The sequence below is a fragment of the Homo sapiens genome, chromosome 11 (genome assembly GCF_000001405.40).
Source record: "Homo sapiens chromosome 11, GRCh38.p14 Primary Assembly".
NCBI lineage: Eukaryota > Metazoa > Chordata > Mammalia > Primates > Hominidae > Homo > Homo sapiens.
The window spans coordinates 110,277,651-110,302,283 of record NC_000011.10 but is presented as its reverse complement, the minus strand read 5'-3'; the positions used below and the strand labels follow the sequence as shown (position 1 = coordinate 110,302,283).

At 42.1% G+C, this 24,633-nt stretch overlaps 1 protein-coding gene across 19 annotated transcripts in view, besides 6 other annotated features; it reads left to right on the top strand.

Moving 5' to 3' along the window:
- Positions 5,288 to 6,087: a silencer, noted in NCBI's record as "silent region_3889". NCBI's record gives its function as "represses an Ori minimal core promoter by ATAC-STARR-seq in GM12878 lymphoblastoid cells {active_cell/tissue: GM12878}" and the evidence as "EXISTENCE:reporter gene assay evidence [ECO:0000049][PMID:35858748]".
- Positions 5,288 to 6,573: a biological region, named in NCBI's record as "H3K27ac hESC enhancer GRCh37_chr11:110166436-110167308".
- The window catches only part of RDX (radixin), a 121,693-nt gene continuing 102,729 nt past the window's right edge, over positions 5,670 to 24,633 (top strand). For 12 of the 19 annotated variants that reach the window (NM_001260493.2, NM_001440505.1, NM_001260495.2 and 9 more), the window contains exons 1-2: positions 5,670 to 5,817; positions 22,528 to 22,603. In NM_001260493.2, the coding sequence (NP_001247422.1) occupies positions 22,592 to 22,603 (12 nt within the window). In that variant the 5' untranslated portion in view covers positions 5,670 to 5,817; positions 22,528 to 22,591. Of the gene's footprint in view, positions 6,256 to 15,076; positions 15,285 to 22,527; positions 22,604 to 24,633 lie in introns of all 19 variants that reach the window. The other 7 variants (NM_001440510.1, NM_001440511.1, NM_001440513.1 and 4 more) reach the window with 5 other exon arrangements.
- Positions 5,701 to 6,573: an enhancer, noted in NCBI's record as "H3K27ac hESC enhancer chr11:110166436-110167308 (GRCh37/hg19 assembly coordinates)". NCBI's record gives its function as "activates a minimal SCP1, AML or CMV promoter by ChIP-STARR-seq in naive and primed H9 embryonic stem cells {active_cell/tissue: H9 hESC(naive and primed)}" and the evidence as "EXISTENCE:reporter gene assay evidence [ECO:0000049][PMID:30033119]".
- Positions 6,138 to 6,187: a silencer, noted in NCBI's record as "silent region_3888". NCBI's record gives its function as "represses an Ori minimal core promoter by ATAC-STARR-seq in GM12878 lymphoblastoid cells {active_cell/tissue: GM12878}" and the evidence as "EXISTENCE:reporter gene assay evidence [ECO:0000049][PMID:35858748]".
- Positions 6,198 to 6,297: a silencer, noted in NCBI's record as "silent region_3887". NCBI's record gives its function as "represses an Ori minimal core promoter by ATAC-STARR-seq in GM12878 lymphoblastoid cells {active_cell/tissue: GM12878}" and the evidence as "EXISTENCE:reporter gene assay evidence [ECO:0000049][PMID:35858748]".
- Positions 6,428 to 6,487: a silencer, noted in NCBI's record as "silent region_3886". NCBI's record gives its function as "represses an Ori minimal core promoter by ATAC-STARR-seq in GM12878 lymphoblastoid cells {active_cell/tissue: GM12878}" and the evidence as "EXISTENCE:reporter gene assay evidence [ECO:0000049][PMID:35858748]".

The following is a 24,633-nucleotide window of genomic DNA, read 5'->3' as shown; positions in this document are numbered from 1 at the left end:
CTTAGAAGGTTTTGGGCTGGGTGCGGTGGCTCATGCCTGTAATCCCAGCACTTTGGGAGGCCAAGGTGGGCGGATCACAAGGTCAGGAGTTCGAGACCAGCCTGGCCAATACGGTGAAACCCCATCTCTACTAAAAACACAAAAAAATTAGCCCGGGCATGGTGGCGCACGACTGTAATCCCAGCTACTCGGGAGGCTGAGGCTGGAGAATTGGTTGAACCCGGGAGGTGGAGATTGCAGTGAGCCGAGATCGCACCAGTGCACTCCAGCCTAGGCAACGGTGAGACTCCGTCTCAAAAAAAAAAAAAAGGTTTTGTTTCGTTTTCTTTTTGGTCTTTTTGGAGACACGGGTCTTGCTCTATTGCCCAGGCTGGAGTGCAGTGGCTTGATCATGGCTCACTGCAGCCTTGATTTCTTGGGATTAAGTGATCCTCCCACTTCAGCCTCTCAAGTAGCTGGGACTACAGGTGTACGCCACTATGCCCAATTTTTTTTTTTTTTGGTAGAGATGGGGTCTCACTATGTTGCCCAGGCTGGTCCTGAACTCCTGGGTTTGAGCAATCATCCCACCTCCCTAAGTGCTAGGATTATAGGTGTGAGCCACCACACCCATGGTGTTTTCGTGTTTTCAATTTTTGCATTTTATAAATAATATTGTGCATTTATGAATAAAGCTTTGGCTGTATTTCAGATTATTTCCTTCAGAAAGAATCCCAGATATGTGATTACGGGTTCCAAGAGTTATGAACATTCTTTTGTTTGAGACAGGGTCTCACTCTGTTGCCCAGGCTGGAGTGCAGTGGTGCCATCATGTTGAGAGGTGACAGCGTGCTGGCAGTCCTCAGCCCTCGCTCGCTCTCGGCACCTCCTCTGCCTGGGCTCCCACTTTGGCGCCACTTGATGAGCCCTTCAGCCCGCCGCTGCACTGTAGGAGCCCCTTTCTGGGCTGGCCAAGGCAGGAGCCGGCTACCTCAGCTTGCGGGGAGGTGTGGAGGGAGAGGCCCGGAGGGAGAGGCGCGGGAGGGAACCGCGCTGGTGCTTGTGGGCCAGCAGGAGTTCGGGGTAGGCGTGGGCTGGGCGGGCCCCGCACTTGGAGCCGCAGGCCGGCCCGCAGCCCGCGGGCCCGGCAGTGATGGTCTTAGCACCTGGGCCAGCAGCTGCTGTGCTCAATTTCTCACAGGGCCTTAGCTGCCTTCCCGCGGGGCAGGGCTGGGGACCTGCAGCGCGCCATGCCTGAGCCTCCCCGCCTTCTCCGTGGGCTCCTGCGCAGCCCAAGCCTCCCCAACGAGCGCCGCCCCCTGCTCCACCGGCACCCAGTCCCATCGACCACCCAAGGGCTGAGGAGTGCGGGCGCACGGTGCGGGACTGGCAGGCAGCTCTACCTGCCCCCTGGTGCGGGATCCCCTGGGTGAAGCCAGCTGGGCTCCTGAGTCTTGTGGGGACTTGGAGAATCTTTATGTCAGACTCAGGGTTTGTGAATGCACCAATCAACACTCTGTATCTAGCTACTCTGGTGGGGACTTGGAGAACCTTTGTGTGGACACTTTGTATCTAGCTAATCTAGTGGGGACGTGGAGAACTTTTATATCTAGTTCAGGGATTGTAAACGCACCAATTAGCGCCCTATCAAAACAGACCACTGGGCTCTCTGTAAAATGGACCAATCAGCAGGATGTGGGTGGGGCCAGATAAGAGAATAAAAGCAGGCTGCCTGAGCCAACAGTGGCAATTGGCTCCGGTCCCTTTCCACACTGTGGAAGCTTTGTTCTTTCGCTCTTTGCCATAAATCTTGCTGCTGCTCACTCTTTGGGTCCACATTGCCTTTATGAGCTGTAACACTCACTGCGAAGGTCTGCAGCTTCACTCCTGAAGCCAGCAAGACCACGAACCCACCGGGAGGAACGAACAACTCCAGACGCGCTGCCTTAAGAGCTGTAACACTGAACCACGAAGGTCTGCAGTTTCACTCCTGAGCCAGCGAGACCACGAACCTACCAGAAGGAAGAAATTCCGAACACATCCGAAGATCAGAAGGAGCAAACTCCAGACGTGCCACTTTAAAAGCTGTAACACTTACCGCGAGGGTCCGTGGCTTCATTCTTGAAGTCAGTGAGACCAAGAACCCACCAATTCTGGACACAATGTTACTGGAAAGGAGTCCCCATCCAGACCCCAAGAGTGGGTTCTTGGATCTCGTGCAAGAAAGAATTCAAGGTGAATCCATAAAGTGACAGCAAGTTTATTAGAAAAGTAAAGGAATTGGCCAGGCACCATGGCTCACGCCTGTAATCCTAGCACTTTGGGAGGCTGAGGTGGGTGGATGACCCGAGGTCGGGAGTTTGAGAGCACCCTGGCCAACAGGTTGAAACCCCATCTCTATTAAAAGAAAAAAAAATTAGGTGAGCGTGGGCTCAGCCCCCTATAATTCCAGCTACTTGGGAGGCTGAGGCAGGATAATCACTTGAGCCCAGGAGGCGGAGGTTGCAGTGAGCCAAGATCAGGCCACTATACCCCAACCTGGGCAACAGAGTGAGACTCTTATCTCAAAAAACAAGCAAACAAAAAAAGTAAAGGAATAAAAGAATGGCTACTCCATAGGCGGAGCAGCAGCTTGGGCTGCTGGACTAAAACTACCTATAGTTGTTTATTGATCATATGCTAAACAAGGGTTGGGTTATTCATGAGTTTTCTGGGAAAGGGGTGGGCAATTCCCAGAACTGAGTGTTCCTCCCCCTTTTAAACCATATAGGGTAACTTCGTGATGTTGCCATGTCATCTGTAAACTGTCATGGTGCTGTTGAGAGTGTCTTTTAGCATGCTCCTGTATTATAATTAGCATAAAATGAGCAGTGAGGATGACCAGAGATCACCATCATTGCCATCTTGGTTTTGGTAGATTTTGGCTGGCTTCTTTACTGCAACTTGTTTTATCAGCAAGGTCTTTATGACCTGTATCTTGTGCTGACCTCCTATCTCATCCTGTGACTTACAATGCCAAACCTCCTGGGAATGCAGCCCAGCAGGTCTAAGCCTTATTTTACCCAGCCCCTATTCAAGATGGAGTCACTCTGTGGTCAACGCCTTTGACAATCACAGCTCACTGCAGCCTCAAATTCCTGGGCTCAAGGGATTCTTCTGACTCTTCAGCCTCCTGAATAGCTAGGACTACAGACATGCCACCATGCCTGGCTAATTTTTATAATTTTTTTTGTAGCGATGGGGTTTCACTATTTTGATCAGGCTGGTCTTGAAAATCCTGGGCTCAAGCGACCTTCCCGCCCCAGCCTCCCAAAGTGTTGGGATTACTGGTGTGAGCTTCAGCACTGGCCAGTTATGAACATTCTTTTTGTTTTTTTGCTTTGTTTTTTTTTGAGAGGGAGTCTCGCTCTGTTGCCAGGCTGAAGTGCAGTGGCATGATCTCGGCTCACTGCAATCTCTGCCTCCCGGGTTCAAGTCATTCTCCTGCCTCAGCCTCCCAAGTAGCTGGGATTACAGGCGTGTGCCACCACACCCAGCTGAGGTTTGTATTTTCAGTAGAGACGGGGTTTCACCATGTTGGCCAGGATAGTCTCGGTCTCCTGACCTCATGCTCTGCCCGCCTCAGCCTCCCAGGAAGTGCGGGGATTACAGGCATGAGCCACCATGCCCTGCCATGAAAGTTCTTAGGGGTTGAATCACAGTGCCAAATAGCTTTATAAAGAGATTATTTCAGTTTACACTCCCACTCACCATGTCTGAGAGTACCCTTTTTATCTCACCAGCCTTGACTGTTATCTTTCACTTAAATATTTACTAATAGGATACCCAACTAAAATGTTGCAATTTTTGGTCTGTTTGCTGTTGCAGAAGATAGGATAAAATCAAGGCTTTTGGAGTCAAACATATATTTGGGTTTGGTCACTGCTCTGCCACTTCCTAGTTTTGTTACATTGGGGAAATTACTTACCTCTTTTTAAGCTGTCTTATTCATCGATTTTTTTTAAAGGGTCAATAATAGTATTTATCCCAGAGGGTTTTTGTAACCATTAAAAGAGACAGTCATGTAAAAGAATTTCACACCAGTGTCTGGCACCTGACCAACAACAGTGAATCCTTCACTTTCAGTTGCAAAAGTGTGTTATATAATTTCATTTGATTAGTGTACTATGTAGGAATTTACATAATACTTTTTTTTCTTACCTACTTCATGGGAAGTATTACGTAATACTTTGACTATGCCTGCAACCTGATGTGGTAGGCTGAACAATAACCAGGATAATTCTTGCACCCTAGGGAGAGGTAAGGAGTGATCTTTTGGTGGTCCCTAAGAACCACAAGAACCTATTTGGTCGCAAGTCACACACCTGGTTCCCATCCTTGAGGAATTTGCTATCTAAAGGCCCTTGAGTTTAACCCTTGAGTCTCTTGGGGGCTTTTAATTGTTCGGAGAGGTCTCAAAGGGCAATAGTGGAAACTCACTGAAGAGGCAGGCTAGTGAAAGTGATTTGCAGATATTTCCTGGAAAAGCTACTGTCTCACCTAAGGTAAATGCTAAGGCAGGAAGTATAGGAGTTATTTGTCCTATAAAAGTAAGTATACTCAGGCGTTTTGTTATTTGAATCTAAAGTTTGTTCACAAAAGATAAGCTAAAAAAAGTATTGCAAACAGGGCAAGCCAGGCGAATCTGATTTTGTGCGCTTGCTGTTTGTATACTCATAGCAAGTTTTGCTCCCTGAATCATCCCAGCAGACAATACTGAGGGGACTCAGCATGGATTAGATGACAGAAGACTGATCCAGAAGTCAGGAGCTTCCTGTCTCATCCCAGCCACTAACTAAAGTGAGTGGGCTAGACTTAGTCTTAAGATCGAATGCCTAACTTTCTCTAAATCTAGAATTATGTAGGTTTGGCGGCTCTTTGGGGCCCTACTTCCAACTTTTTCTTGCTAACCAACTCCTTCCAACTGCCAAAGCATGTCGTTGGTAATAAAAAATTATCACACATCCTTGCTTGGATTAAAATTTGCACTCCTGATTTGGGGTCTTATCCATTGAGGTTTTGGTGAAGTTTGAAAATTGTCGCTGAAAAATTAAGTTTTTCTAGTTGGCTAAAACCTGCCAAAATAATGTAAACGTTCTTTGTTGCAAATCTAAATTCCGCTCAGGTAGGCCCTTTTCTCCTTCCCAGTCCAGGATCTTCAAACCTAACAGCCAAGTCTCACGCTTCATTTGGTCCCCGGCTCCCTCTGGGAAGAATTCCTCCTCTGGGGGCGACGGCAACGCCCTCAGTGAGTTTGCTGGCACCAGCGGGAGTTTCAAGTTTCCACTCGTTGGGGAGGCGGCGGGCACACTCCGAGCTTTGGGCTGGGCGGCTCCGCTTCCCTCGACCGCAGGTTTAGCTGGAGCCCAGCGCTCTCTGGAAGGGCTCGACCCTCCGGCGCATTCGCCCTATTTCCCTGGGCGCTCCCGAGCCCGCAGCCACCCACCTCGCGTTGGCCGGCCCCAGACCGCGACCCCCGGCCACGCCCGGAGCCAGGCCTGCGGCTGCGAGCCTGCGGGAGGGGCGGGGCGGGGGCGGCCCCCAGCGGCGGCGTTGGCGCTCAGTCCGCGGCGCGAGGACGGCCGGCCGGCAGGGGGAGGCGGGGGGGCGCCGGGCAGCCCCGCCTTTTCCCGCGGAGGCGCCGAGCGGCCATATTGCGGAGCTGTCTGCGGTGGCGGCGGCGCCTCTCGTCTCCCGCGGGCCAGCGCTCGCACCACCGCTTCTCCCTCCCTGTCGCAGCCGCGCCGCCGCGCAGCGCCCCAGCCACACGCCGGCGGGCAGAAGCCGCCCGCTCTCCGGGTAAGGCGCGGCGCCCTCCCTTCCCCCACTCCCCGCTCCCGGTTCCTCCGGAGACGCTAAGGTGGCGGCGCGAAGTTGCGGGGCCCGTGCTGCCCGGCCGTGGCGCCGCCGCCAGGGCTTGGCGCGCCTCCGCTCGCGCCCAGCTGGCCGAGGCGCCACTGTGGTAACGGCCCGGCCGGCCAGGCTCCTCCCGGGGCTGGTAGGGGCCGCGAGGCCCTGCCCGAGTCGTGGCTGAGCCGCGGCCCGAACGTGCCTGGCCGGGCCAAAGTCGACCTTCGCCGCCGCGGGATTCTCCTTTCCTCGGGGCGCGGAGTCTGCCTTCAGCGCCGGTGTCGGACCCCCAGCGCCCTGGGGACGGTGGGCTCCCGCTGCCTGGACTGGGCCCCGGGCCCGGGCTGGCATGGTCCCAAGGGTTGTTTGAAAATCCAGATATTCAGCGTAGGTAGAATTCGATTTTACATTTATTAGAACTTGTTCCCCGGCCTCCAGTTTGAAAGGAGGGGTGTTAAATTACTAGAGAGCGTGCGTTCCGCCCCAGTGGCAAAGGGGATGTTGCATGACAGGCTTTGGGGCGCCAGTCGCTCCCGCCGCTCGCACCCGCCAGGCCAGGGCCGCGGTTCCCGGCCGCAGCTCTACCTGCTGCTGTTGCAGCTCTCGGAGCCCTGTAACTTTCTCGGGCCCTTGAGGCCGCTCAGTTTTAGTGTCTCAGACCCCACCAGACAAGTTCAGTACATGATATCCCTCTTTTCCTTTAAAGGATTCTAAACTCAATTCCCGGACTAACTTTGAAAGGGGGCAGTGCATTTTTGTTTTTTTTTTTTTTTCAGTTTAAACAGACTACATCACTTCCTAGACAGATGTCATGTTTCTTCAGACATTCCCAATATTTGGTGGTTTTTTTTTTTCCTTAAAGAGTAGTTACTAGGTTGGAAATGTGTTAAAAGTCAACTTCATAAAAATATATTTTAAAATACATTTGAGATTTTGGTGGAAGACACGTTGCTGAGGAACTCGATGGCATTCTTGTGGCACTAAGACTGGCAGGATGTAAATATAAAAGTCTAAGATAATAAGGGTTTATTTGATAAACGAGTACTTTGACATAGACATTGTAATCTATTGTTTAAGGAGCATACTTCTTTTTTTTTTTTTTTTTTTAGAACACTAAATACTCTTTTATATGACTGATGGAGCTAAGAAGGAACAATTACCCCGTTCATGTTGCTGGATAAATAATGGCTTGATCCATTTGCCAAAACAGCATCACTGGATTTGAGAAAGGAGACTAATATTCAGGATTGCAGTTTTTTATTTTCAGAATTTCTTTGCTTTCCCCAGTGTGCTTTATCTTCCAGAGATTAATAATACTTTCCTTCAAATACAGCAACATGTAAAACACTCCTTTTGAAGTTAATCGTATGCTGTAAAGACGATTGCAGTGACTTTCTTTGCTTAATCGCTTTTTTATATATGATGGAATTTAATAAACAGTTGGTATATTATTAGCAAGGAATGAATAGACATTGGCATTCTTTACAGTTTTATTTAAATGAGACAGAATTTGATTGTGGCATTGAAAAAACGTTGAGTTCTTGACCTTAGGAATCACATACAATGTTTTGTTCACTCCTGTATCCCCACACATGGAAGAGTATGTAGGAGAGTCTCAGAAGTAGCTGTAGAATAGATGTAATTAATTTGGGTGTAGGGAAAATACGTTGAGTCTGTCCTTTTGTTTTTTTTTTTGAAATTGTGATTAATTAACTGAAAGTCAAATTGATTACTTTCCTTTTGTTGGTAAGAAATGACAGACTTTGCTGTTGTTTCCCTCCCTTGCTGAGTCTCATTAGTCTCCGGGATGGGGAACGCGTTGTCTTTTGTTTATTGGTTCACTGTTCCCAAAAGCAGAATTGGATTTTTTTTTTAAGTCGATAAATTTTTACTCAAGGAATTCCATGTTGTGATTTCTTCCACTGTCCATCAAGGTCACTTTAGATCCTCTAAAGAGCTAGAGTCAAAAGATTTATCTTCAAGTTAGTCCTTTTTAATGAAACCGATGCTTATTTTAATCCAGTTAGCCCATCTCGCTCTGTCTCCCAGGGTGATATGCAGTGGCATGATCTTGGCTCACTGCACCTCCGCCTCCTGGGTTCAAGTGATTCTTGTACCTCAGCCACCCGAGTAGCTGGGACTACAGGCGTGCGCCACCATGCCCGGCTAATTTTTGCATTTTTAGTAGAGACGGGGTTTTGCCATGTTGGCCAGGCTGGTCTGGAACTCCTGGACCTCCGGCGTTCTGCCCGCCTCGGCCTCCCAAAGTGCTGGGATTACAGGCATGAGCCGCTGCGCCCGGCCAGAATTGGATTTTATTATTCATTTTTTATCTTTGGCAGGCTGTTGAAGTGAAAGTCTTTATATATTTTTATTTTGCTTTCAGTTCTCAATCTTTTAACCTACTATGTGTGATCTGATATAATAGTCTGAAATGGTAAATGATGGTGAGAGTCTTGTTTTTTCATCCATTTTTAATTTAATGCATTTTAATTTATGCTACTAATGTTTAAAAACGGGGTCAAATTTTAACCAATATTTCCTGTAGGCCAAAGTCTAAAAAAATCTGTTTTATTAAGGTTGTGAAAACTGAGCTATATGCTGCTGGAGTTTATATGTAAGGTGTAGATAAATATAATTTCGTGTTACTTCTGTGCATCGGGGAAGTCAAGCAAGTCACTGTTGGGTGGCAGGAACCTTCCTGCAGACCACGAGCTGGCAGGTGGTACTTAACTGATACTACCCCTGGGGTACAAGATTCAGTGGAGCTGGATTGGGTTGCTATGGACTCTACCCTTAAAAGATTATTTTAAGTCTCATGGCATTACTGATCCAGCTGAAGACTGTTCTGGTAACTTCCTTGATTGCTGCAGCCAGGGTGTGCGTACTGCTTTGATGATAGAGGTGTCCAATCTGGCCCCAGAGAGTTCCTCAATTTCTAGCCTATTTTAGAGAAATCCTGCCTTTCCTACTTTAAGTTCCTGGTGTATATCTTTATATTGAATGTATAGCTTAAGCCATTTAAAAAAAACTATAAAAGTGATATATTTTATGGCAAAGTTTAAAAACTCAGAAAAATGTCAAGGAAAAGGTCAAAGTCCTCCTTACTCCCTGGAACACCCCAGCCCCTTTCCCAGTCCTGTTTTCCATAGGTAGCTGCTGTCGGCAATTCCTTGTTTATAGAAAATGCCAGTAGGTATGCAGGGATAAACATATACTTTATATCCCTTATTTGTGATTTTAAAGTCTTGTTAAAATAGGGTTATATTGTAACAGACATTGAAAGGATGCTTATTAACTTGTGTTAAACATTGAGTAAATCATATTTCTCATGTTTTCATCATTTGAATAAAAGCACACAATAGAATTCCCTACGCTAATTCTCAAGTGTGTGTATGTGCAAATTTGTTTGTGTACAGATTTTCTTGATTAATGATTGAAGATGAAGTTTACTTTTTGTTTTCTAGCATATGGCATATAGTTGACAATGAGAAATGGTGTCTTTTAAAAAAGGAGGTTTATAATTTGGTGTGGGAAATAGCCACATCTTGCTCTTTACAAAAAAAGTTTGCCAACTCCTTAGAAAAAACATCCTGTTGAAAGGATATTTTAGATACAGTATTGAAGAAACAGGTACTTCATTGTTTATTTTCTCTAAGATTATAGAATTTATAAAGCTATTAGTAATTGAGATAATGGACTGTTTTCTTCTGAGTTGTAGATAATCTCTATGGCTTTCAGGACCTTAAATGTTTTTTTTTTTTAATTTATTTGTGAAAAGTTTAAGTCAACTAGGACTGACTGCAGGTAAATTTGTGAAGTGAGCGCTCTTCAGTTTTGAGCCCTTAGATCCTTTAAGATGCATTGGCATCAAATAGCAGAAAATTCTCCAACTGGTTTAAACAATGAGGAAATTTAATGTCATTTTTTTCTTCATTTTTTTTTGAAAACAGAGTCTTCCTCTGTCACCCAAGCTGGAGTGCAGTGGCACTATTACAGCTCACTGCAGCCTTGACCTCCTGGGCTCAAGTGATCCTTTAAGTTCCTCCCACATCAGTCTCCCTAGTAGCTGCCAACACAGGCGTGTGCCACCATGCCTAGCTAATTTTTTTTTTTTTTTTCCAAGACAGGGTCTCGCTCTGTTGCCCAGGCTGGAATGCAGTGGCATGATCTCAGCTCACTACAGCCTCTGCCTCCAGGGTTCAAGCGATTCTCCTGCCTCAGCTTCCCTAGTAGCTGGGATTTAAGGCACATGCCACCAGGCCCGGCTAATTTTTGTATTTTTAGTAGAGACAGGGTGTTACCATGTTGGCCAGGCTGGTCTCAAACTCCTGACCTCAAGTGATCTGCCCGCCTTGGCCTCCCAGTGTGCTGGGATTACAGGTGTGAACCACTGTGCCTGGCCAACAACTAATTTTTTAAAAAGCCTTTTTGTAGATACGGGGTATCCCTATGTTGCCCAGGCTGGTCTCAAATGATCATCCTGCCTCAGACTTCCTGCCTTGGACTTTCTGCCTCGGCCTCCTGAAGTGCTGGGAGGATTACAGGTGTGAGCCACCATGCCTGGCCAAAATTTAATGTCTTGCATACTAAAAGTCCAGAGGCTCAAGAATGGTTCAATAATGACATCAAGGACTCCTTCTCTTTCCAACTCTCTTCCCTGTGATTTTCCCTATTAACTTCATACTAAGACAGCCCTTACCCATCTCAATTTGGCTGCTGCAAAGGAGCCAGGAGCGGTGGTGTGGACCTGTAGTCCCAGCTACTCAGAATGCTGAGGTTGGGGTATCACTTGAGCCTGGGAGGTCAAGCCTGCAGTTAGCCCCTTGTCCCAGTTTGGCTGCTGCATCCCATCCAGACAGGGCAGTATCCAAAGGAATAAGAGGAACTGTTTCCAGAAACCCCCAAGCAGATGTCTTTCGAGCCTCATTGGCCAGGATTGGGGCACATTCTATACCTAACCAGTCAACTGGCAAGGGTAATGGAATTGCCCTTTCTTCCAACTCTGTTCCCAATAGATACTTCTTTTTTCTTTTTCCTTCCTCCCTCCGTCCCTCCCTTTTTCCCTGTCTCCCTCCTTCTCTCTGTCACTGTCACCTCTCTGCTGCTGGAGTACAGTGGCATGATCATAGCTCCATGCCACGAACTCCAGGGCTTTGAACTCCGGGGCTCAGGCAGTCCTCCCACCTCAGCCTCTGGAGTAGCTAAGACTACATGTGCACACCACCATGCTTGGCTGATTTTAATTTTTTTTAGAGATACAGTTTCACTATGTTGCCCAGGCTAGTCTCAAACTTCTGGCCTCAAGTGATCCTCCTGCCTCAGCCTCCTAAAGTGCAGGCAACTGCACCCAGCCCTGTTATTTTCATTATTCATCTATATTACATGTCTTCGGTCCTTTTTTTACCCCCACCCAAAGTCATATCCAAAATTGATCCATTACAGATAGTCATATGTAGTGAGCTCATATCTTTGTAGGTACCAACTTCAGTTAAATTATGAAAGGAAAAGTGTTGATTCTTGTTAAAATACTTGGCAAATTGTGGTCCATGGGCTAAACCCAGCCTACTGCCTGTTTTTATAAAGTTTTATTTGAACACATCGTAGCTGACTTGTTTACATATTATCTATGGCTGCTTTCCTGCTACAACAGTAGAATGGTTTCAACAGAGACTGTGTGGCTTACAAAGCTTATAATGTTTACTTACCTGGCCCTTTACGGAAAAAGTTTGCCGACCACTGCTTTAAGATGTCAGTCGTACATTTGGACAGTTATTATATGCCACATACTCTTTGCATTTGAGAATGGAAAGATGAGTAAAATACTCAGGAGTTCTCACTCTAATGGGCAGATAGATGTGCCATATTGTATTCATAAAGTGTGTTAAGTGCTTTTTTTTTTTTCTTTTTGAGACTGTCTCTGTTGCCCAGGCCAGAGTGCGGTGGCTTGATTATAGCTCACTGTGACCTTGACCTCCCAGGCTGAAGTGATCCCTCCACCTCAGTCTCCCAAGTAGCTGGAACTATAGGAGCTTGCCACCACTCCCGGCTTTTTTATTTTTTGTAGACACGGGGTCTCACCATGTTGCCCAGGCTGTCCTGGGTTCAAGTGATCCTCCCGCCTCAGCCTCCCAAAGTGCTGGGATTACAGGCGTGAGCCACCACACCTGGCCTGTTAAGTGTCACAGTAGTGTGTATAAGTTAATTAATACTCCTTGCAGCAGCATTTTAAGCACAGTATTCTGTGCTGTGAGTTCTGGATGTTTCTTGCTTCCTCTGTTTTTTTTTCTTTGTTAAATCTTCCTGTTGTTTTTGTAAATTGACTGATAATCTTTTAATAAGTTAACCAGAGTGGGTATTTTTGTTTATAACAAAAAATCCTGGTGAGTACATGGAATAATGTGGATGCATTAATGCAACGTAAGGACCCTTGTTTTTTTTTTTTTTTTTTTTTTTTTTGAGACAGTCTCACTTTGTCACCCAGGCTGGAGTGCAGTGGCATGATCTCAGCTCATTGCAGCCTCTGCCTCCTGGATTCATGCAATTCACCTGCCTCAGCGTCCCGAGTAGTTGGGACTACAGATGCACACCACCAAACAGGTCACCACGTCTGACTAATTTTTATATTTTTAGTAGAGACGGGACTAATTTTTATATTTTTAGTAGAGACGGAGTTTCGCCGTGTTGGCTAGGCTGGTCTTGAACTCCTGACCTCAAGTGATTCACCCGCCTTGGCTTCCCAAAGTGCCGAGATTTCTGGTGTGAGCCACCGCCCCCAGTCAACATAAGGACTCTGAGTGAAAGGGAGAATGGGAACATAGAAAATCTCAGCTGTGGTTAATTGACTTTAGATCCCTTTGGCTTGGATTAAATTTTCTTAGCCATTGTGAGGACTCCTGATACTTAAGCTGTTTATAGGTTCTAGACTTAGAAAAACTATAAAAACTTAGTTTGGCTATTCAGCAAAGTTAGTATATATCACCAGAAAGCTTACTGCTAATATCTAATCAACAAGCAGCATGGTAATTACAGTTATCATTAAGTGTGTCAAATTATCTGGCCTTTAATTTGATTGTCAACTTAATTGAAATTATTAAAACAGTTTTGGATAGAGATGGTTAAGGCTTGAATTTGGGAGGCCTAGTTGTAAAAAGTTTTTTTTTTTTTTTTTTTTTTTGAGATAGAGTTTTGCTCTTGTTGCCGAGGCTGGAGTGCAATGGCGCGATCTTGGCTCACCACAACCTCGGCCTCCCAGGTTCAAGTGATTCTCCTGCCTCAGCTTCTCAAGTAGCTGGGATTACAGGCATGCGCCACCACGCTCGGCTAATTTTTTATTTTTGGTAGAGATGGGGGTTTCTCCATGTTGGTCAGGCTGGTCTCGAACTCCCAACCTCAGGTGATCCGCTCACCTGGGCCTCCCACAGTGCTGGGATTGCAGGTGTGAGCCACCACGCCCAGCTGTAAGGAGCTTTTTTTGTTCCCCATGTTCATGTTGGTTCTCTCTTCTTAGTGATGCTTATTAGTTTGGTCATTTTACAACATAAAAAAAGAGAGGAAACTATTGCCCTTGACACTAATCAACAGAAAAATTAAAACTAGTATTATGTGTAAGATTAATTCACCAACAAAATCAACAGACATTTTGAGGCCCAACTGTGAACCAGGCATTGTATCAGTTTTTCAAAAAAGGGAGTTAATATCTAGAAAATTAGAAGCTTAATTTTTTTATAGCAATAGAACTGCCATATAGCCTCGTTGACTGTGTTAGAGAATATTGTCTAATTATAAAGACATTTAAGAAACATACTGACTTTGTTCTGTTTTGAAAATAAGCTATAATATCTGATGTTTCAAAGCACATTAAGGGTAGAATTATTTGTGAGAATTATTTTGTGTTTGCTTCTTTCCTGTTATATAAGTGACTTGCATGAACCTGTTTTCCCATTTCTAAACATTTTTATGTGAATGTTTAATGTTTTCTTAAGAGTGAAATGAGGAAGTTGAACTGGATTTAGCTTTCTTACCTTTTAGTATTTAATAATTGCAAATGATAGTGTATTATTTTGTTTTCTGCTCACCTTAGGAACAATACAGGTATGATTTTCCTTTTTAAATTTACAAAACTCTTAGAAGAGATCCTAAACTCAGTGTAAAACTTTGGTGTTAATATTGCAGTTCAGCTTTATAAATTTTAGAAATTTGCTTTGCATTTTCAGTAACATGTATATTACTCAAACGTTGAATATTTCATTTCCTTGAAAATATCATTAAACCAGAAATCATTTCTACATGAGCAAGACTTAATATCTTATTTAAAACTGCCTCTCACCCTTACAGGAAATCCATTTACAGAGATGATCATACCAGTTATTAATGTGCACTTAAAACATCTTTAGAGGTAGTCTCTTGACCTGCTAACAATAGAGAGCTTTAATAGCCTACTTCTTGAAAAGCCCTAGTAATTGTTTCGAATGAACTTGTCTAAAATGGTATCTGAGAAAAGTAGAATAAGATAATCAAAAGAGCCCAAGACTAGGATTTTAAAGGACTTATGTCTTGTTAAGTAGCCCCCTGACATTGAGCAAGTCATTTATCTGAATCTTAATTTCTTTTTTAGAAGAATGAGAGATTGTAACACCTGTCTTGGGCAGGAAGGGGGAGGGCAGTTATTGTGAAGATAGGAAGTGTAGGCAGAGTGGAGAGTGAGCATTCTACAGATGCTCCCTGTATTCACTACCCTTCTTGCTTTTGGCCTTATTTCTTTACTTGCAAAATGGAGCTAAAAATTCTTGTCCTCTTTGCTTCACTTTGGGATGACGGGATGACATGTCATTATTTAGGTAAAAGTGCATTATTATTGCCATAAAATTTATTAACACTGAGCTAACAGCATAATAAGCATAGTTCTTTGTATATTAAAGGTTTTAAACCCGGGGACCTATGACCTTGAATGGGGAAAAAGTTACATCTTTATTTTTACATTTTCTTGTTATGAGTATAGACAACATTAGCATTAGCAGTACAGTACCAGAGACTGTGTCGTCTATTTTTTAATTTAATTTTTATTTTTTATAGAGATGGGATCTCACTCTGTTGCCCAGGCTGGAGTGCAGTGGCACCATCACTCCTGGGTTCAAGTGACCCTTTAGAATAGCTGGGACTACAGGTGCACATCACTACACACAGCTAATTTTTTTATTTTTTGTAGATTGCCCAGACTGGTTTTGAACTCCCGGCCCCAAGCCATCTTCCTGCCTTGGTCTCCCAAAGTGTTGAGATTACAGGCATGAGCCACCATAACCAGCCCAGAGACTGTTTCTAATAGAAACGGTAGATACTTTTGGAATACATTAAAGCTGTCTCGAAATAACTTAACTGTTACTTAAAGTATTAAAAAAGCATATATATTACTCAAGGTTTGTGTTTTTTATATTTTGATAATCATATTCCAGTGTAATTGGTTTCTTTTGTAATTTTCTGTATTGTGTGCATGTATTTTATGCATTTAAAAATACTTTTCTTAGAAAGAGTTCATAGGCTTCACCAGCAGGGCCCATGCAGGAAAAATAAAATGATTAAGAACTTCTTTAGTAGATTCCATTATTGTGTTGATTGGACTGCCAGAGTTGCCTTATTCAGTTTATACTGTTCTTTGTTGTGCAGCTTTCTCCCAGTAAATTGGCAGATGAGTTCTCTTGGAATATTTTGGTTTCTGGAGAGACCACAATTATGTTCAGAGGTCATTTCTAAGTCCGAAAAGGCAGAAAAAAATTTAAAATAATTAAAATTAGGCTTAGGGAAAAGAGTATCTCAAAAGTAAAATCAGGCAATCTGCTATGAATTATTGATGCTTCAGTGCAGGCACTGCATGGACTAGACTTTATAACACCTGTTTTACCACCTGACAGGTGTGAGTCTTGTGCCACTGACCTAACAGAGCTCAATGTGTCGAGCATGAGGCTATTTTTCCATTGCATTAGGTAGAAAGGAGACTGAGGGTTACCCTCAGAGTTAAAAGACAAAGGAGAGAATGTTTATTGTGTCTATGTTGTCTCTAATGTGTGGCACTGTGTTTGAGTACATATTCATATGAGTGGTTTTCTCGAGATGGGAGACGTTTGCTGGCTGGCAGCATCTCTCCAGACGACTTGCTGGGTATGTTGCTGCCATGACTGCTCTTTTATTGCTTTTGAAGGAGTAGGTATGGAAAAGAGCACAATATATTGCTTTAGGAGAAGTAGGTATGGAAAAGAGGCAGGGCAAGACCACTTTTAAGACATTTAAGAGTGGGAGAAAATTAAGGATTTAATTGGTTTAATTAAGTTTAAACCAATAAACTTGCAGATTAAAATTAAGAGAATTAAGAGTGGGGAGGAGGGAGTAAATATTTTTATGAGGGAAGAGTGGAAATATACAAATATTTGGTATATAAATATGTGTCTTTGATATATAATGGTTTAGGCAATTTATTTTTTATTATTATTTTTATACTTTTTTTAATAGAAGAAAAGAAAGACTTGAAAGACCAGGTTTTGTTTCAAGTTAGAGATGGAACCCCAGGATATGCATCTAGGTTTCTTTGTTTTCCATGTGACATTTTATGAAATTATCTATTCTGCTACTAATAGATGCCAGTTTCAATTAAAAACATACTAATATATTTATAGACTAGAAATGTCTCTTTTTTTTTTTTTTTTTTTTTTGAGACAAAGTCTCACTCTGTCGCCCAGGCTGAAGTGTAGTGGTGTGATCTCAGCTCATTGCAGCCTCTGCCTCCTGGATTCAAGCGATTCTCCTGCCTCAGCCTCCTGAGTTGCAGGGACTACAGGCATGTGCCATCATGTTTGGCTAATTTTTTATTTTTACTAGAGACAGGGTTTCTCCATGTTGCCCAGGATGGTCTCGAACTCCTGACCTTAAGTGATCTGCCTGCCTCAGCCTCCCAAAGTGCTGGGATTACAGGCGCGAGCCACCATACCTAGCCAGAAATGTCTCATTGAGGTTAAACAATATTCTCTTTTATTTTCTTTTGAGATGAGGTCTCACACTGTCACCTGGGCTTGAGTGCAGTGGCGCGATCTTGGCTCACTGCAGCCCCTGCCTCCCAGGTTCGTGCAATTCTGCTATCTCAGCCTCCCCAGTAGCTGAGATTACAGGCACACACCACACCCAGCTAATTTTTTGTATTTTTAGTAGAGACCGGGTTTCACTATGTTGGCCAGACTGGTCTCGAACTCCTGACCTCGTGATCCGCCTGCCTCGGCCTCCCAAAGTACTGAGATTACAGGCATGAGCCACCGTGCCCGGCAACAATATTCTCTTGATATAAATATTTTCCATTAATCACTAAATTGGTGTAAAAACATAGGTTTTAATAGCATTTATACATAGCTTTGTCCTGAAAAATTTAAGGTAGAATTTTTACATCTGTGTGTTGTAGAAGCTAATGAAAGATATGTATAAGCAATTTCATGAAATATGTTTTTAAAATTCTTATCTCTGTCTCTGATTTTTAAAATTAGAAACTTAACAAAACTCTGTTAAGTACTAACTTTCTGTGTATTCAGACATCCTTTTTAATAATACCTGTGTTGGCCGGGCGTGGTGGCTCACGCCTGTAATCCCAGAACTTTGGGAGGCCGAGGCGGGTGGATCACGAGGTCAGGAGATCGAGACCATCCTGGCTAACACGGTGAAACCCCGTCTCTACTAAAAATACAAAAAAAAATTAGCCGGGTGTGGTGGCAGGCGCCTGTAGTCCCAGCTACTGGGGAGGCTGAGGCAGGAGAATGGTGTAAATCCGGGAGGCAGAGCTTGCAGTGAGCCGATATCGCGCCACTGCACTCCAGCCTGGGCAACAGAGCGAGACCATCTCAAAAAAAAAAAAAATAATAATAATACCTGTGTTTTTCTGTGTTGATGGATGGGTAGTTACATATTCTGCCTTTCCACTTAACCTTATCTAAATGTTGACACAGTTTGTTTTAATAATACCAAAAAACAAATAAAAAACCCCCACAACCCTGGAGAAGTCCATGTTATCACATAGTATCAACATTACTTTGGTGATTGTAATCATTGGCTATTGTAAAGAATGCTGCTGTGAATATCTTGATACAGATTACTTTCTTTTATATTTAGTTTGGGGGGAGAAATATCTTCTGGAGGATTTATTACAAAAGCAGAATTTCACATTCAAAAAAGCTGTGTAGCTTTTGTTATGTATTCTCTCTCTACTTTCTGGAAATGTGGAGCCAATATCTGGTGATACCTACAATACTTACCTACTTGTTTACCAACGTTGTTCGTCAACCTTAGCATGCGTAATTAATATTTATTTTGCTAGTTTAATGAGTATATCATTGGTAAAACATTTGTAGTTTTAATCAGTAGAACATTTGTGTGTTTTTTTTAACGTAAGTTTTGTTGGTGAAGTTTCTTATTGAAGTGTTTACTGAGTGGAATCTGAGCAATATCTTTATATATTTAACCATTTGATTACTTTGCATAACAGCTTTATTATACTGTTGCAAATTTTTCTACTCTTTTTTATTTTGGTATTTATTTTACCTATGTAGAGATTTAAAATAAAATATATTTATCTGTTTTTATTATAACCTATATATCTTTCTTAGTCATATTATGTTATTCTTCCAAAACTATAATTTTTTTCAAGTCTGTCTTTTTGTTTGTTTGTTTTAGATTATTTTTAAAAAAACATAGAGACGGGGTCTTGCTATGTTTTCCAGGCTGGTCTTGAACTCCTGGGCTCAAGCAGCCCATCTGTCTCAGGCTCTCAAAGTGCTGGGTTTACAAGTAGGAGCCACTGCTTCTCCTTTCTTTTTGAAAAAAATATTAACTTACTTACATTTTATTAAATGGTATTGTGAAGTTATGAGTCCAACTTTAGTTTACTTATTTAGAATAATTCTGTTTTTTTCATCGTAAGAAATTAGTTTTTTAGGCCGGGTGTGTGTGGTGGCTCACATCTGTGAGCACTTTGGGAGGCCGAAGCAGGCAGATTACCTGATGTCAAGAGTTCGAGACCAGCCTGGGCAACATAGTGAAACCCTGTCTCTACTAAAAATACAAAAATTAGTCAGACATGGTGGCAGACGCCTGTAATCCCAGCTACTTGGGAGGCTGAGGCAGGAGAATCGCTTGAACCTGGAAGGCGGAGGTTGCAGTGAGCCAAGATCGCGCCACTGCACTCCAGCCTGGGTGACAGAGCGAGACTCCATCTCCAAAAAAAAAGAAATTAGTTTATGACAAAACCTCTACATTTTCATTTTACAAGTTTACAGATTTCATTTTAATTATTCGAGCCTCTTAATATTTTAGAATATAATCATTCTGGTCTTTTCATTCATTCCTTTGTTTTTTTAAAAAAAGTGATGATATCCTGTGGATTTTTTTTTAATGTTTTATTTTTTACATTTTAGACAGAATCTTGCCCTGTTGCCCAGGCTGGGTTGTAGTGGCATGATCATAACTCACTGCAGCCTCAAACTTCTGGGCTCAAGTGATCTTCCTGCCTTAGCCTCTTGAGTAGCTAGGACTACATGTGCACTCTACTATGCCTGGTTTATTTTTATTTTTTGTGGAGACACAATCTGTCTGTGTTACCCAGGCTGGTCTTGAACTCCTGCCCTCAAGTGATCCTCCTGCGTTGGCCTCCCAAAGTGCTGGAATTACAGGTGTGAGCCACCATGCCTGGCTACTATGGATGGGTTTAATACCTGCCTTTGTACTTAGTGGTTTGTGAATATCTTCCTATGTCATTTAGTATTTTTCTATAACATTTTGATAGGCTGCATTGTGATCTAGTGGATCCTTAGATATACCATGACTGACCTAGCTAAACTCTCAGTTTTACATATACTTTTATAAATTGTACTATAATTAGAGTCTTTGTAGTTGTATCATTATACATATTTGTTAATATTTTCTTCAGGTATATTTCCACAAATGAAATTAGTTAGCAGTCTTTTCATATCAAAAAAAAAAGGAAGACAGGCTGATACGTTGTAGAACTCTGGATGCTAGGTGTCAAAAGACTTGTAGTTTGGCCATTTATTGCCCACGTAACTTAGGACAAGCCATTTTGGCTTAGGATAAAACCTTTAGTGATTGTATTACTGATTCAAAAAAATGCTTATGTAATCTAAACAACTATTATGATTCAAAAAATGGCCAAAGTTTTGATGCAGACACACATGTCTTATATATGTGTGAAGAATTTGAATAAAATTGTTCTATGAAATGTGAGATGAAGCAATTTTTCTGAACCAATAGGTTATAGGTCATTTTTTGTTTGTTTGTTTTTTGAGATGGGGTCTTGCTCTGTCACCCAGGCTGGAGTGCATTGGTGATCTCAGCTCACTTCAACCTGCACTTCCCAGGCTCAAGCATTCCTTCCATCACCATGCCTGGCTCGTTTTTTTTTTGTTTGTTTGGTTTTTTTTTTTTTTTTTTTTGATAGAGATGGGGTTTTGCCATGTTGCCTAGGCTGGTCTCAAACTCCTGGGCTCAAGTGATCCTCCCACTTCTCAAATTGCTGGAATTACACACGTGAGCTATCGCGCCTGGCCTGGAGGCTGTTTTAATCAAGACCTGAGATGATAAGACCTGAACTAAGGCAGTAATAGTAGTTGGGATGAAAAGAGGGTATAGAATTTAAAAATTGGACTGAAATACATTTAGGTTCATGAAGGTAGGTGAGTGTAGATGGGAATAAGCTAGGAAATGATAAGAATTAAGAAATGAGGGGTTTATACCTCCAGCAGAATTTCATTGCCTAATGGTTCATGCCTGTAATCCCAGCACTTCGGGAGGCCAAGGCCGGCGGATCACTTGAGCTCAGGAGTTTGAGACCAGCCTGGCCAACATGATGAAACCCTTTCTCTACTAAAAATACAAATATTAGCTGGGTGTGGTGGTGGACGCTTGTAATTCCAGCTATGGAGGCTGAAGCAGGAGAATCGCTTGAACCCAGGAGGCAGAGGTTGCAGTGAGCTAAGATTGCACCACTGCGAGCACTGCACTCCAGCCTGGGCGACAGAGTGAGACTCCATCTCAAAAAAAAAAAAAAAATCTCAGGAGGAAATTTCCTCTGAAGAGGTTTATTGGTAATCAGTTACTTGTGATTGACTAGAATTTAGGGAAATGGCCTTACCTAAATTTCATTTTTATTACAACTTAGAGAATTTCTCTTTTATTAGTTATGGCATCTTTTCTTTTTTTGTTTTTTAGAAACACAGTGTTGCTCTGTTGCCCAGGCTGGAGCACAGTGGGACCATGTCGGCTCACTGCAACCTCTGCTTTCTGGGTTCAAGTGATTCTCCTGCCTCAGCCTCCTGAGTAGCTGGGATTACAGGCACCTGCCATCATGCCCGGCTAATTTTTGTATTTCTGGTATAGATGGGGTTTCACCATGTTGGCCAGGCTGGTCTCAAACTCCTGACCTCAAATGATCCTCCCGCCCCGGCCTCCCAAAGTGCTGGGATTATAGGCATGAGCCACCATGCCCAGCCTTAGTTATGGCATCTTAAACAGCAATCAATAACATTTTTTTGTTTGTTTGTTTTTGAGACAGGGTCTTGCTCTGTTGCCCAGGCTGGAGTGCAGTGGTGTGATCACCGCTCACTGCAGCTTCAGCCACCTGGGCTTAAGCAGTCCTCTCACCTTGGCCTCCCAAAGAGCTGGGATTACAGGTCCTAAAGTGTTGGGATTACAGATGTGAGCCGCTGTGCTAGCTGAATGCAGGTTGTTAGTGTGCAGAGCTTTGCCTGTTTCATACACATTGGGTGAATAAGCTATTCATATTTTTCTCCATTCATATTTTCAAATTTACAAGAAGAAAAAATAAGCCAGGCGCAGTGGCGCATGCCTGTAATCCTAGCACTTTGGGAGGCACAGTTGGGAGGATTGCTTGAGGCCAGGAGTTTGAGACAGCTTGAGCAACATAGGGCAACCCTGCCTCTACAAAAAAATAAAATAAAAAAACTAGCTGGGCATGTTGGCACGTGCTCATGATCCTAGCTACTTGGGAGCCCAAGGCAGGAGGATCACTTGAACCTGGGAGGTTTAGGCTGCAGTGAGCTGTGGTGTTACCACTGTACTCCAGCCTGAATGTCAGAATGAGACCCATCTTTAAAAAAATAAAAAAAAAAAATTAGTTTCTTCCATTTTTTTGTAGATTACATTAATCAGAATTTCCTTTTGTTTTTGGCAGTACAGAAAAAAAACATTGAATAAGTATTCTTAAGCTCTTCAGAGTCTGAATCCATCTGTCTTCACTTTTATTGTTCCTTTCTCTAACATCCTGGATACAGAGATGAACCTGACTCAGAGAGCAAGCTTTTGGGCTCTAAGCAGTGATGTTTCCTTGTTCTTTGTTGTCTGTAATTAAAACTTCTGGTTAGATCAGTGTGTTTATAACATGTTATTTGAGATGTGTGGTATTTTTAATCTTCAGATTTCAGTCTTCTTAGGGAATGTGCAATGCTAGTAGAAGATATTGAAAATGAGAATGAAATCACTCCTTGTTACTTTAAATCCACCTTTTCAAATATTTTAATTTATATCTTACACAAATTATAGTTAAAATAGAAACCTTATATAAAAAGATAATAGATTATGCTTTTTTTTTTTTAACAGAAAGTGATAACAGAATTCATTGAAGTGGAGAATTTTTAAAGAAGGTAACAAAAAGAGAAAGAAAATGCCGAAACCAGTAAGTGTATTTTATTACATTTGACAGTGTCTCAATAATAAGATATCATTAAATTCGTTTTGGAACAAGACAAAGAATGTTGGTAGAGTTGTTGGAAGAAAAAGGCACTGATACTACTGTTATTTCTCTTTAGATTAATGTGGCCAAATTAATTAGAAACACAGTGTTGCTCTGTTGCCCAGGCTGGAGCGCAGTGGGACCATGTCGGCTCACTGCAACCTCTCCTTTCTGGGTTCAAGTGATTCTCCTGCCTCAGCCTCCTGAGTAGCTGGGATTACAGGCACCTGCCATCATGCCCGGCTAATTTTTGTATTTCTGGTATAGATGGGGTTTCACCATGTTGGCCAGACCATAATACTATGGTATTATGTGGTCATGAGTTCTAAGGTCAAACTGTCTTAGTTGTTACCTTGGTTCTGCCACCAATCTGGGTGACCTTTGTTAATTTAGCTCAATCTGTCCAATTTTTAATTTCCTTGCATATAAAATGGGATATAATTAGTTACCCAAGGGAGTATGGTAAGGGTTAGAAGAATCTGATATATATTTAGTGCCCAGTAAATGGTAACATTGTTAAATGGGAGGAAATAATGAGAGGTCAGGAAGATCTATGCATTTTAGTTTTCTCATAATTGTAGTTTAGATGCAAGTGTTACCCATACTGATATTATATAGTCTTAGATTTTTTTTATTTAAGGGTACACATGTGATTATTTTACTTAGTTTTATAGTTATTTGGTTCTTCTTGACTAAGGATTCCTTTATTCTTAAGGTGTAAATGTTCTTTTCTTAATCTAATAAAGTGAGTTGTTTTTTTTTTTTGAATGTTTCTTTTGGCCAATTATAATTTTAAAGAAAGTCATTAGTTATCATTTTTGGGATTTTCTAGCACGGATAACACTTCAGAATGACTTAAAGACTCAGCAGGTCGCAAAGTATGCATTGTTAGAGGGAGAGAAGAATTAAAAAAAGGCATAAAGATCAAAAAGAAAATTTCCTATTTGCAGATGACATGATTGTTTCTGTAGAAAATCCTCATAAATCTATAAAACAATACTAGAACCAATAACTGAATTTAGCAAGATTGCCAGATGCAAGATTGTATTAAAAAAAAATCAATGGCCTTTTTTATATAAAACTAGTTTGGTTATTTAGTTATTAAAAAACATGACACACTTAGTAATAAATGTACAGATGCTGTGCAAGATCTCTACACTGAAAACCAGCTATGAGAAATTAAAGATTTAAATACATAGAGAACTATAAAATATGTATAGAGATCTTTATAAGATGTCAGTTCTCCATAAAAGTGTTCGTAAATGAAATTCAGTTCCAATCAGTTGAATCCAGGCAGTCTTCTTTGATTAAAATTGACTAGCTGATTCTAAAATATATTAATATATGGATATGCCAAAATGTGTACAGAGTAGCTAAAGCAATTAAAAAAAAAAGAAAACTTACACTCCTGGATTTCAAGGTTTATTCTTAAGCCACTAAAATAAGACATTGAGGTATTGGTGAAAGAATAAATTAATAGGATCGGTGAAATGAAAATACACCAACACACATATACACATATGTATTCATTAGATTTTTGACAAGGGTGTCACACAATTTACTGGAGAACTATAATTATTTTCAACAAATGGTATTGGCACAAAGGGTTATCCATACAGAAAAACATGAACATTGACTGTTGTCTCACAATTTACAAACATAAACTCAATGGATTATAGACCTACATGCAAAAGCTCAAACTGTAAAACATCTAGAAGAAAACATAGGAAAAAATTTTTGTGATCTTAGAGTAGGCGAAAATTTGTTATGTAATACACAGAAAATTTGAACCATTAAGAAAAAGTTGGACTTAATCAAAATTAAAAACTTTTGCTCTTGAAAGACAGCAATAAAAACATATAAAGGCAAGACAGTGGGAGAAAATAATTGCCATATAAAGTTCTTTTACAGTTGAATAATAACACAACTCAGATTTTTTTTTTTTTTAGTGGACAAAATATTTGAGCAGATAT